Source organism: Homo sapiens, chromosome 2 (genome assembly GCF_000001405.40).
Source record: "Homo sapiens chromosome 2, GRCh38.p14 Primary Assembly".
NCBI lineage: Eukaryota > Metazoa > Chordata > Mammalia > Primates > Hominidae > Homo > Homo sapiens.
The window spans coordinates 52936993-52951520 of NC_000002.12; the positions used below are offsets into that span (position 1 = coordinate 52936993).

The 14528-nt window shown below is 37.0% G+C and overlaps 1 long non-coding RNA gene across 3 annotated transcripts in view; it reads right to left on the reverse strand.

Annotated features, from left to right (window-relative positions):
- LOC105369165 (uncharacterized) overlaps window positions 1–14528 on the reverse strand; it is a 486292-nt gene that overhangs the window by 214317 nt on the left and 257447 nt on the right. The gene's annotated exons all lie outside the window — the stretch shown is intronic.

Consider the following 14528-nt stretch of genomic DNA (forward strand, 5'->3'; position numbering starts at 1 on the left):
AATGAGGCATATATCTCTAAATATCAAAGATTGAATTCTCTACTTGGCCTAGAAACTCACAGACCAGAAAAACATTCTCAGAAGTGATGCTAGTAGCTGACCAAATCACTTTGGGAAAAAGAAAAAAAAAAAAAAAACCCTGTTTAGCACAGCATAACATAGGAAAGGAAACAAGAAATTTGGATTTTGAATTCTGGATTTGCTAATTATTTACCCCGTTGAATTAGGAAAAAATATTTAGTTTCTAGAACCAGTAGTTTTCTCATCAGTATAGAGAAAATTGCAATTACATGAATAAAAGCACACTAGTATGATGTCCAATTATTAAAATTGGTTAAAACAAAATAAAAAATTAGGAAAATGTGGAAGCCTGATGTGCTATTCTTAAATGCCCGATTTACCAACTTCACCTTTAATAAAAGAGAAGAAACCTTGAGAGAATTTTAGACCTCATGTCAACAGTCAATCTCAGGAAACCTAATGAGAAGAGCATCTCGAAAGCAATTCAGGTTGGTATCATTTGAGTAAATATGACTTCAGAATCAGAAATATATCTGTCAATCACCTTCAACCCTATGTTAATTCAGTAGTAAACAAGTAAGCATAGCCCAAGCAGTATTTGTCCAATAGTTAAATCAATATGACTCTTTTCAAAGATTAAAAAATAATACTGGCATAGGTGTCATTTACTGCCTCCTATATAATTGTGAGAGAAAAGGATATAAGTATTTTGAAGTTGAAAAACTAACATTTGATGGAATGCCACAAATATCCGAATGCTATGGTGAAAATGGAAGACGAAATGATCATATATGTTCATCTTTCATCTTTCCCCAATCACACTAACATAATAGAAGATATACAGTATAAATCTATAGGATAACAAAGAACAATGCCATGAGTAGAAGAGAAATGTTTAGAACTTCATGATAATATGAAGGGAGGGGAATTTTATCAACGGTTGACTCCAACAGAGATGATAATCCTCAACATAAAATGATGGAGGACAGAGGACAATTATGCTAAGTGAAAAAGGTCAGACACAGAAAGACAAATACTACATAATATCACAGACAGACATTGTTTTATGTGTACTTCTCTTTATTGCTCTGATACTTGTCTACAGTTCCTGGCTCATAACTCCATAACTCCTTTAGTTCTTGTTAAAATGTTGGGACCCTTAAGGTTTCAGAAGGTCTCAGAAAATACAATCTCTCTCTTTCTCTTTCTCTCTCTATCTGACCTTCTCCTATCCTTCTTTCATTTGCTCCTTTTTCTCCCCAAAGCAGACATCTTCCCCTACCTTTTTTTTCTTGGAGCTGGCCATAAAGAAATTCTCTGACCTACCTAGTCTGATTTGTAGGTCATAAGACTCTAATTTAAGAAGTCGTGCCCTGTACCCTGGAGGAACAATGCTGCAGAGAGAGGACAAGAAAAATATGGATAGACAGATTTTGATGGGTTTCTCCACTCAGTCTATTAGTATTAGATCATACCCTTTTTGTTTTGTCACATGTCTACACAGTTGGCCATGCTTCATGCCTATACAATGAAGTTTCCAGGAAAGGCTGAAGAGGATGAAATACGGAAGAGCTTCTGGGTAGCTGAACATCTGCAGTTCCTGGAGGGAACCTCTTCCCACATGCCTGTGCATCCCTTCTTCTGTATCCTTTGTAGTATCTTTACAATAAATTGGTAAGCATGTTTCCCCGAGTTCTCTGAGTCACTCTCACAAATTAAACCCAAGGAGTGAGCTGTGGGATCCCTAATTTATAGACAGCCAGAAGCACAGGTCAAACAACCTGGGGCTTGCAATTGGTATCGGGAGTAGGGATCAGGCTTGGGGATGGAGTGCTCAAGTTGTGGGATCAGACACTATCTCCAGGTAGTGTCAGAACTGAATTGAATTACAGGACACTCAGCGGGTGTCTACCGCAGAATTGATTGCTTGGTGCATAAGGAAAAAAACCTACACACTGGGTCACAGAAATCTTCAGTGTTGATTGATGTGGTACGACAGCAGAGGAAAATCAGTTTGTGTTTTTCCACACAATTGTGCTTCACAAATATTGAATTTTTTACAAGTTGAAAGTTTGTGGCAACTCTACATGGAACAAGTCTATGGGTGCCATTTTCCAACAGCATGTGCTCACTTCACGTCTCTGTGTCACATTTTGGTAATTCTCACAATATGTCAAACTTTTTCATTATTATTATAATATCTGTTACAGTGATTGTGATCACTGATCTTTGGTTTTACTATTGTAACTCTTTGGAGAAGCTACTAACAGTGCCCATATAACACACTGCACGTAGCTGATACATCTTGTGTGTGTTCTGACTTCTCCACAGACCAACAGTTCCTCCATCTCTCCCTCTGTTCTTGGGCCTCCCTCCCTGAGTCATAATAATATTGAAATTAGGCCAATTAATAGCCGTACAATGGTCTCTGAGTGATTCAAGTTAAAGGAAGAGTTGTATGTTCCTTCCTTTAAATAGAAAACTAGAAATGATTAAGCTTAGTGAGAAAGGCATGTCAAAAGCTGAGATAGGCCAAAAGCTAGGCCTCTTCTGAGTAACAATCATCCAAGTGGTGAATGTAAAAAAAAAAAAAATTTTTCAAAGGAAATTAACAGAAACTCCAGTGAACATATAAGTAATACGAATATAAAACAACCTTATTGATAATATTGGAGAAAGTTTTAATGGTCTGGATAGAAAACCAAACCATTCATAACACTGTATTAAGCCAAAGCCTAATTGAGAGCAAGGCCCTAACTCTCTTCAATTCTATGAAGCCTGAGAGAGGTGAGGAAGCAGTGGAAGAAAAGTTTCAAGCTAGCAGAGGTTGGTTCATGAGATTTATGGAAAATAGCTATCTCTACAACATAAAAGTGCAAGGTGAAGCAGCAAGTACTAATGTTGAAGCTGCAGCAAGTTATCTGAAATATCTACCTAAGATCACTGATGAAAGAAACAACATATTTTCAATGTAGATAAAACAGCCTTCTATTGGAAGAAGATACCATCTAGGACTCAGCTAGAGAAGAGCAGTCAATGCCTGGCTTCAAATCTTCAAAGGTCAGGCCATGCTGGGGGCTGATGCAGCTGGTGACTTTAAATGGAAGCCAATGCACACTGACCATTCTGAAAATTCCAGGGCCCTTAAGGATGATGCTAAATCTACTCTGCATGTGCTCTATAAAAGGAACAACAAAGTCTGGATGACAGAACATTTGTATATAGCATGGTTTACTGAATATTTTAAGCCCACTGCTGAGGCATATTGCTCAGAACATTACTGCTCATTGACATTGCACCTAGTCGCCCCATAGCTCTGATGAAGATTAATGTTATTTTCATATGTGTTAACTCAATATCCATTCTGCTGTAGCTCATGGATCAAGGAGTAATGTTGACTTTCAAGTTGTGTTATTTCAGAAAAACATTTATTAAGGTTATAGCTGCCATAGGTAGTGATTCCTCTGATGGATCTGCGAGAGGAAATTGAAAACCTTCTGAAAAGGAATCACCACGCTAAATTACATTAAAAACATTTGTGATTCATGGGAGGTCAAAATAGCAACATTAACAGGAGTTTGGAAGAAGTTATTCTAACCCTTATTAATGAGTTAGTTAATAACCCATTATCATTCTGTTTCTACCACATCTGCAGTAGAATTATAATTAGACCTAAATTAGAAGTAGAGACTGAAGATATGACAGAATTGATGCAATCTCATGATAAAACTTTAATGGATGATGAGTTACTTCTTATGGATGAGAAAAGAAAGTGGTTTCTTGAGATGGAAACTACTCGTGGAGAAGATGCTGTGAAAATTGTTGACAATAATGGGCTTAGAATATTACATAAAATTAATTGGTAATCAGCAGTTTGAGAGGATTGACTCCATTTTTGAAAGAGGTTCTACTGTTTGAAATGGTATCAAACAGTTTTACAGGCTACAGATAAGTATTTCTTAAAAGGAATAGTCAATTGAGGTAATAAACTTTAAGTTGCCTTATTTTACCACAGCCACCCCAAAGCTCAGCAACTACCACCCTGATCAATCAGCAGCCATCAACACTGAAGCAACACCCTCCACCAGCAAAAAGATTATGACTCACTGAAGGCACTGGTGCTCATTAGCGTTTTGTAGCAATAAAGTTTTTTAAATTAAGGTATGCACATTTTTTAGACATAATGCTATTGCAAACTTAATAAACTAAAATATAGTGTAAATATAGCTTCTACATGCAAGGGAAAACTAAAACACTTGTGTAACTCACTTTATTGTGATATTTGCTTTGTTGCAGTGGTCTGGAAGTGAACCCACAATATCTCCAAGGTATGCCCGCACTTATATGTGGAATCTAAAAAAGGTGAACTTGTAAAAATAGAGTAGAATGGTGGTTATCAGGGCTACATGAGTGGGGGAAATGGGAAGTTGTTGGTCAAAGGATACAGACTTTCAGTTGTAAGACCAGTAAATTCTGGAGGCTTAATGACTATAGTTAATAATATATTGTATACTTGGCATTTGCTAAGAGAATAGCCCTTGACTGTTCTCATCACACACAAAGGGTAACTATGTGAGATGATGGATATGATAACTAGCTTGCGATGAACACTTCACAATGTATATTTACATTATGTATATCTAATAATCACATTGTACAACTTAAATGTATACAATTTTTATTTGTCAATCATACTTCAATGAAGCTGGAGAAAAAGATAAAAGGAAAGGGCAAATGCTACAAAAATAATAAAAGACAGGACCACTAAAAACAGAAACCTGGAATTATCCCAATCAGATGCAGCAGAGGATGGAAGCCAGAACTGGATGGTCAGTGAGATAATTGATTAACAATCGGTAGAACAGGTGCAACAATTTCCTACTTTCAGTGCTGCAGGCTCTGATGTTCTCCATCCAGCTAAACTCACAAGAATTGTTTGGGGACTAATAGTGAATCTGCTATTGGACATTCCCAACATAAGTATCCCCTGGAGCTAAGGGGTGTCTCAAATTGAGAAAGCTAATTATTATCCCATACTCAAAGAGAAAGACAGGCTGATCACATGTTCCCATCCTGTACTTTCACATAAGCTCAAAATTCTATCAGAATTTGAATTTTCTGCTAGGGAAGCAGAGAATATTCACTGGTGATGAATAAAAACATATTCCAGAAAAATATACCACTCTTACAAGAACCTTGCACTACAAACAGATGACTAAGATTTTCCATGAAACGCTTAAGACAACAGCATAAAAGAAAGACACTGGAATGAAAACAAGACCAAAACTAACTTTCAAAAAAGAGAATACAGGTAGGAAAACACATACATTTTAAAATAATTACAATTAGTGTCCTCAGGAACATATGTAAAACAAGAGCAGGCTGTTATGAAAGAAAAGTAAAGTTATTGGAGATTAAAAATGGTATTCCATAAAAGAGAATAATAATGAATCCAAAGGATAAGTGGTAAGATTGACTCAGCTGAAGACAAAAGGACAGCACTAGAAATCTAGAGATATTTTCAAAATTCTATTCAAAAACACAAAGACATGATTGCTTTGAAAGCAGTTAAGAAGCATGGATGATATACACAGGAAATACAATCCAATGCCAATTCAAAAGGAAAGAAAAAAGAAGAAAAAGGGAAAAGCTCTCGCCTGCATGAGTCTAGCCCTATATTTTTTCCTGCTACAAGATAATTAATCATGGAGGTGTACATGTCCTTCAGAGAAAACCCACTTGCCTCTCTCACATATAAATATACCTTCAAGATGTGATCTGATCCCCTGACTTAATCACATTAAGCAACAGTATATTTTCCCAAATCTGGCTCATTTCAAGAATGTAATCTATTCATATTTATTGCCATCACTATTACATTGGTTTTATTTCAGCCATATTAGTGAATTAAACATAGCTGTATATAAAATAGAGACGAAAGACATATGATGATGTAAATATACTAGAAGTTTATGCATCTTGTGCTAATGGTTTGCATGGGTGTCCCCTCCAAAATTCATGTTGAAACTTAATCCTCACTGTAGTGACAGTGGGCAAGTTGGGAATACTTATGTTTGGGCAAGTGATTAAGTGACGAGGGCTCTTCGCTTAAAAAAGGATTCATCCCTTATAAAAGAGCCTTTTGAGAGTTTTCCCCTTTCTGCTCTTCCATCTTCCACCATGTGGGGATAGAGCATTCCTCCCTTCTGGAGGATGCAGCAACAAGACACCATCTTAAGAGCAGAGAACGGACCTCCCCAGACACCAGGGTCAGTGCCTTGATCTTGGACTTACCAGCTTCCATAACTGTGAGAAAATAAGTTTCTAGCATTTATAAATTAACTAATTGTGGTATTTTGTTATAGCAGTACAAATGAACTAAGACATTATGTAATAGTCTAGAGTGGTACAGAGTAGCAAGGAGCAGAAGGCTGCTCCATACAATCATTTGAAGGACTCACACGAATAGAGGCCACCTTCAGTGAATCAAGTCCAAGTTCATGATAGTCATCTTCACCCAGTCTGAGGAAACAAAAAGTATCCAGGAGTTGCCATGAGGGAACTTCAGAGATCAGTCCTGGAAATGACACATACCACTATTTCTTATGCCCTCATGGCTAAAAGTCACATGACTACAGCTAATAGCACAAAAAGATAGGCCTAGATTTTGGTTAGATTCTAGCACAGCCATCTTATTTTTCAATGTCTTCATATTTTGTTTCTTTTATTGCTGTTGTTGTTGCTGTTGTTTGCAGTTTTTTGTTTGTTTGTTTTGGGGGAGGTTGTTTTAACATTTAAGTTCAGGGGTATAAGTGCAGGTTTGTTACATAGGCAAACTTGTGTCATGGGGGTTGATACACAAATTATTTCATCACTCAGGTATTAAGTCTAGTATTCATTAATTGTTTTTCCTGATCCTCTCCCTCCTCCAACTCTCTGCCTTCCAAAAGTCCCCAGGGTGTGTTGTTCCCCTCTATGTGTCCATGTGTTCTCATCATTTAGCTCCCAGTTATAAGTGAGAACATGTGGTATTTGGTTTTCTGTTCCTGTGTTAGTTTGCTACGGATAATGGCCTCCAGCTCCATCTATGTCCCTGCAAAGGACATGATCTCATTAGTTTTTATGGCTGCATAGTATTTCATGTGTATATGTAACACATTTTCTTTGTCCAGTCTATTATTGATGGGCATTTAGGTTGATTCCATGTCTTTTCTATTGTGAATACTGCTGCAATGAACATACGTGTGCATGTGTCTTTATAATTGAAAAATTTATATTCCTTTGGGTATATATCTGTTAGTGGGATTTCTGGGTCAAATGGAATTTCTGTCTTTAGGTCTTTGAGGAATTACCACACTGTCTTCCACAGTGGCTGAACTAATTTACACTCCCACCAACAGTGTAAAAGCATCCCTTTGTCTCCACTACCTCACCAGCATCTGTTATTTTTTGACTTTTTAATAACAGCCATTCTGACTGGTGTTAGATGGTATCTCACTGTGGTTTTGATTTGCATTTCTCTAATTATTGGTGAATTTGAGCTTTTTTTCATGATTGCTGGCCATAAATATGTCTTCTTTTGAGAAGTGTCTGTTCATGTCTTTGCCCACTTTTTAATGAGGTTGTTTGTTTTTCTTGTAAATTTGTTTCAGTTCCTTATAGATGCTGGATAGTAGACCTTTGTCAGATGTATAGTTTGCAAAATTTTTCTCCCATTCTGTAGGTTGTCTATTTACTCTGTTGACAGTTTCTTCTGTTGTGCAGAAGCTTTTTAGTTTAATTAGATCCCATTTGCCAATTTTTGCTATTGCTGCAATTGCTTTTGGCATCTTCATCATGAAATCTTTGCCTGTGTCTATATCCTTAATGGTATTGCCTAGGTTGTCTTCCAGGATTTGTATAGGTTGGGGTTTTACATTTGTCATTAATCCATCTTAAAACAGACATATAGACCAATGGAACAGAATAGAGAACCCAGAAATAAGACCACACACCTACAATTATCTGACCTTCAACAAATCTGACAAAAACGAGCAAGGGGGGAAGGATTCCCCATTCAATAAATGGTGCTGGGATAACTGGCTAGCCATATGCAGGGCACATTTTGTTTCTTTTTTCTTTACTATTACTTATGTTCATCGTATATTATTTGCTTTTTATCTTGTCCTACATTAGGTATTTCAATTTTATTTATATTCTACTAATGATTATACTCAAATTTATAGCAAACGTGAAAATATAGATTCATATTAATATTAAAAAATAATGTGAACATACAGCCTTTTTCATTTGTAACAAGATTAACAGACATTTAATTATTTTATCCTCTTCTCAATTTTCTTTTAATTTCTCAATTTTCTAGCTTTAAATTATTATTTAATAATATCTCTATTGTTAAATCCCTGCCTAACAATTGAACTTAATTTCATAGCTCATTGTTTATTATTTCTTGTATCTTATTTTTTCACTATCACTCAGTCTTCTGTTTCCTACAGTACCTTTATAAGTAATTTAATTTTCAATATGACTAGTGGGTGATACATTTCTAGATGGCTATATGTTCAAAAACGTCTATTTTTTTCTCATATAGGTAGGATATTTGTACTGTCTTTGTAATACTAAATCCAAAATTCTTTCTCTGAAATGAGGGTATCAGAGCAGTCATAGAGGCAAAATGCCAGCTGAGAATTGTCCCATCAGAGTAGAAAACTCATGGGCTCCCCAGTAGTGGAGACTGCCCCATGTCAATGATGCACTGGGAAAATGAGGACCTTTTGAGACATACCTAAGTTTTTTCCTGTGATATATGCTTAGAAGTAACTAAAAAAGAATTCAGGTGCTAATATCAGATATATAATCCAATAATGGGGTTCGGGCCTTCCTTGTTTGCCTTTAAAATGGAAATAAAAGCTCATTTTTAAAATCATAAACAGCGAAAAGCACAGAGTATATACTAAATAATTATAATACAATAATGACAACCATTCATAATCTTTATTGAGCACCTACTACCTGTCGGATCCTGTAGGAGGGCTTTCACATACACTATTTCTAAGATAACAGTTCAGCAAGGTCTGATGATTACTTCTATTTTACATGTGAGAAAACAGACTTATTGAGATTCTCTTCCTCGAAGTCACACTACCAAATGGGATTCTAAACTAGCTCTATCTAACTCAAATTCAAGGCTTTTTCCTATAGATTACTTGTCTTATTTTAAATCTAAGATATTATTTTAATTTTACCTCTTTCAAAACAGATTTTGACTGCTTTATAAGTTTACTGTTGAATGTGCTGATAACATTCTGAGTACTTAAAATGCAGTTCATCTGAATGTATTGGAAATGTAAAATACACAGGGATTTAAAAGGTGATATTGTAAAATAATGTAAAATGTCTCATAACTAAATATTATACCGATTACTTGTTGAAATTATAATATTTGTGATATATTGATATAAATTAAATATATTATTAAAATCATCTTACTAGTTTTACTTTTTAAAATACTGTTACTAGAAAATTTAAAATTATATATATGGCTCAAATTGTACTTCTATATGATAATGCTGCTCTATAAAGAGCTAAATTTAAAAAAAATATGGATTAACTACTGGACAACCTAGTTGGTTAATAGCTATGGTAATTTAATGATTAATCCATTTATTCATTAATTCTCTTAACAAATATTTATCAAGTACCCATTTGTGGCTAAGCCTTGTTTGAGGTCCTGAAAATAGATCAGGAGAGAAAAGCAAGAAAAAAAAAAAAAAAAAAACTCTGACCTTATGGAGTTTACATTCAAGCTGCAAGTTAGTTCTGCCAATGGGTTCTTACCATTCCTTTCTCATCTGCTAAAATATGGTCCAACATCATCTTTTCTACGATTCCTGAAATTAAGAGTTCTAAAACTTAAAGTCACGAATTAATTTAGAATAGAACATATAGGTAAAATAGGTACATGAACTAGAAATACGGCGAAAAATATTTGTTTATAGAATCAGGCATTTGGTCTTGTAGTTGCCAAACTGCAGTCACTAAACCTTGTTCTTTCGGTGGTTTAGTAAGCCAGTGGCTTACTTAAAGGGGTGCTGCAGTGCAGTGAAGATCACTATTTTATTTTATTTTTTTTAGCAAACAATTACTCTACATCATTTCAGAAATGTCTCAATGTTAAAACCTCTTAGGGTGCTTAATGATTACTTATTAGGTACAGATTATAAAAGACATTTTCCTTCTGGGCAAACCAGAATAAAGGTTTACAAGCCTATGAAAGAATATTTGATGGATTACCTCAAAATCCTTACATATGGACAGGCTTCCAGCTTTTTCTTTTTCTTCTTTTTATTTTAACAGATATATTTCAGGCACTGTGCTGGTGTGCTTGTTTTCATATGCTATTGCAATTATTCCACTTAACTAATGAGAAAATTGATGGTCCCAGAAATTAAACATAGTATCCTAATTTTACATGATGATAAGCACAGATATACAATTCAAAACTACACTTGCATGTTTCTTGCCTTGTTTAATTTTTACTTTTCTTTCTAACCCTAACCCTAACCCTTTCTCTGTTTTGAGTATTCCATGTTTGTTTGCTTGGTTTAAGCTAATTCCAAAAGTTTCACATATTCAGATGGTATAATCTGTTTCACTACTTACTATTCATTTAACTCCCCTCTTCTTTAATTTCTATACATTTTGACCCTGACAATCTCCTAGTCTGCAGGTTCAAACCCATCTAAATACTCTTTTAATCTCCAAACACCTGAAACATTCTTCTACCTTTCATTTTCAGTATCTCCTACAGGCATGACAATGCCCCAAATTATTTATTTCATTCCAACATTCTTTAAACTACTATTCTACCCTCTCTCTCAGACTCAGGCTGCAAAGGTACCTACTTCTCCTCTTTCTCTGTCTCCCATCTCAGCTTTTTATTATGTAGATCAATTTAACCTCTTTCTTTCTATTTCCCTATTTTTCAGGACAAAGATTCTGCAGAACTTAGGAAAAGTCCAGAAAGATGACCCAGTGATAAAGAATATCTTCTGTCCAAGAAAGGGCATAAAATGAAAAGAGAAAAGGGGGTAAAATTTTAACCACTTGTAATCCAAAACCTTATCTTTCATCTGTCAAGGGACATTAGATAACACCAGGACCACCACGGCTACTTCAGTCCTTTTCCTAAACCATAAGTTTGTAATTGGTAATCTAAGACCTGTCAATTAACTATCTGTGTACCTGGATTTTTGTATCAAAGCTCCACTCCCCAGTGAGATATAGTGCTTTTTTATCTTGTGGGTTGGTTGTTTTCAGAATCATAATTAGAGGTTTAATAGCCTATTAGAATAACCAATGGCATATACCTCAGAACCCTGCAAGTGTGCTCATTTGACTATGCTCCACCCTGGCATTAGTTAGTATTAGTGCCTAGCTGTGCCTCTCAACTAACCTTGCAGTGAGCACTGCCAAACCTAGCCACTATTGCATTCAACAAATGTACCTCCATCAGTGCAGTGGCGTGATCATGGCTCACTGCAGCCTCAAATTGCCAGACTGGCCTCAAGTGATCCTCCCACCTTGGCCTCCCAAATTGCTGGAATTACAGGCGTGAGTCACAATGCTGGCCTTTTCACTTTCTTTTCTAAGACTCTTTTTCATTAGGACAAATTCACACCTCACTTTTTCTTTTCTGCTCTAAGCTGTATCACTTGAAATAAAAAATGGTAAGTAATTTGTCGAAATACTGTCAGCTTTTTCATACAATGATTCAAACAACTTCTATGGTAAATGGGACTATGAATAGCAGAAAGTTAAAAGAAAAAAAAAACCTAAATTAAAGATCTATGGATAATTCCCCAATTAAATCAACTGCTTTGCAATATCCTTCACTTAACTTTCTAAAATAGGTGCCAGTAATGAATCCCAACTCAGCTTCATTTTTTTTATTTTGACTATATCCCTGTAGTTATGTGATAAATGTCTGTATCAGTCTGTTCTCACACTGCTAATAAAGACATATCCGAGAATGAGTAACTTGTAAAGAAAAGAGATTTAATTGACTCACAGGTCTGCATGGCTGGGCAGGCCTCAGAAAACTTTCAATCATGGTGGAAGAGGAAGCAAACACATCCTTCTTTACATGGTGGCAGGAAGGATAAGTGCCGAGAAAAAGACCCTTAGAAAACCATCAGATCTCCTGAGAACAGCAGCATGGGGGTAACTACCCCCATGATTCAATTACCTCCCACCGGGTCCCCCCCACAATATGTGGGGATTATGGAAACTACAATTCAAGATGAAATTTGGGTGAGGACACAGCCAAACCGCATCATTCCACCCCTGGTCTCTCCCAAATCTCATGTCCCCACATTTCAAAACACCACCACACTCTTCCAACAGTCCCCCAACGTCTTAACTCATTTCAGCATTAACTCAAAAGTTCAAGTCCAAAGTCTCATCTGAGACAAGGCAAGTCCCTTTTGTCTATTAGCCTGTAAAATCAAAAGCAAGTTAGTTACTTCTTAGATATAATGGGGGTACAGGCATTGGGTAAATAGACCTCTTCCAAATGGGAGAAATTGGCCAAAATGAAGGGGCTGCAGGCCCCATGCAAGTCCGAAATCCAATAGGACAGTCATTAAATCTCAAAGTTCCAAAATAGTATTTTTTTAACTCCATGCTCCAAATCCAGGTCATGCTGATGCAAAAGGTGGGCTCCCATGGCCTTGGGCAGCTCCACCCCGTGGCTTTGCAGGGTACAGCTGCCCTCCTGGCTGCTTTCATGGGCTAGCATTGAGTGTCTGTGGCTTTTCCAGGTGCTCGGTGCAAGCTGTCAGTGGATCTACCATTCCGGGGTCTGGAAGATGGTGGCCCTCTTCTCACAGCTCCATTAGGCAGTGCTCCAGTGGAGACTCTGTGTGGAGGCTCCCACCCCTCATTTCCCTTCCACACTGCCCTAACAGAGGTCTCCATGAGGGCTCCACCCCTGCAGCAAATTTTTGCCTGGACATCCAGGCAGTTCCATGCATCCTCTGAAATCTGGGCAGAGATTCCCAAACCTCAATTCTTGATTTCTGTGCACTTACAGGCCCAACACCCTTGTAAGCCACCAAGGCTTGGGGCTTGCACCCTCTGAAGCAATGACCCAAGCTCTACGTTGGTTCCTTTTAGCCACAGCCAGGATGCAGGGCCCCAAGTCCCAAGAATGCACAAAGAAGCAACGTGCTGGGCCCAGCCCAGGAAACCACTTTTTCCTCCTAGACTTCCTGGCTTGTGATGGAAAGGGCTGCTGTGAAGACCTCTGACATGTCCTGGAACATTTTTCCCTTTGTCTTGGCTATTAACATTTGGCTCCTCCTTACTTATGCAAATTTCTGTAGTCAGCTTCAATTTCTCCTCAGAAAATGGATTTTTCTTTTCTATTGCATCATCAGGCTGTAATTTTTGTGAACTTTTATGCTCTGATTCCCTTTTAAAGATAAGTTTCAATTCCAAATGATATACTTGTGAATACATAAAGCTGAACATTTTTAACAGTACCCAGGTCACCTCTTGAACACTTTGCTGCTTAGAAATTTCTTCTGCCAGATGCCCTAAATTATCTCTACTAAGTCCAAAGTTCCACAAATCTCTAGGGCAGGGACAAAATGCTGCCAGTCTCTTTTCTAAACCATACCAAGAGTCACCTTTGCCCCAGTTCCCAATAAGTTCCTAATCTCCACCTGAGATCATGTCAACCTCGACTTTATTGTCCACATCACTCTCAGCATTTTGGTCAAAGCCATTCAGCAAGTCTCTAGGCAATTCCAAACTTTCCCACATCTTCCTGTCTTCTGAGCCCTCCAAGTCTCTAGGAAGTTCCAAACTTTCCCATATTTCTCTATCCTCTTCTGAGCCCTCCAAACTATTCCAACTTCTGCCTGTTACCCAGTTCCAAAGTTGCTTCCACATTTTCCGGTATCCTTACAGCAGCACGCCACTCTGCCGGTACCAATTTAATGTATTAGTTTGTTCTCACACTTCTAATAAAGACATACCCAAAACTCAGTAATTTATAAAGAAAATAGTTTTAATTGACTCACAGTTCCACATGCCTGGGAGGATGTAGGGCTCAGGAAACTTACAATCATGGCAGAAAGGAAAGCAAACATATCCTTCTTCACATGGTGGCAGGAAGGATAAGAACCAAGATAAAGGATAAAAAGCCTCTTATAAAACCATCAGATCTCATGAGAAATCACTCACTATCATGAGAACAGCAGCCTGGGGGTAACTGCTCCCATGATTCATTTACCTCCCCACTGAGTTCCTCCCACAACATGTGGGGATTATGGCAACTAAAATTAAAGACGAGATTTGGGTGGGGATATAGCCAAACAATATCAATGTCCAAAAGACTAGGAAAGGATAGGAAATGAAAAAGTAATCTATAATCTAGATGGTAATTATTTATTTCCTGTCTTTTCATATCTATATTTTGTAATCAAATCCATCTAGCTCCT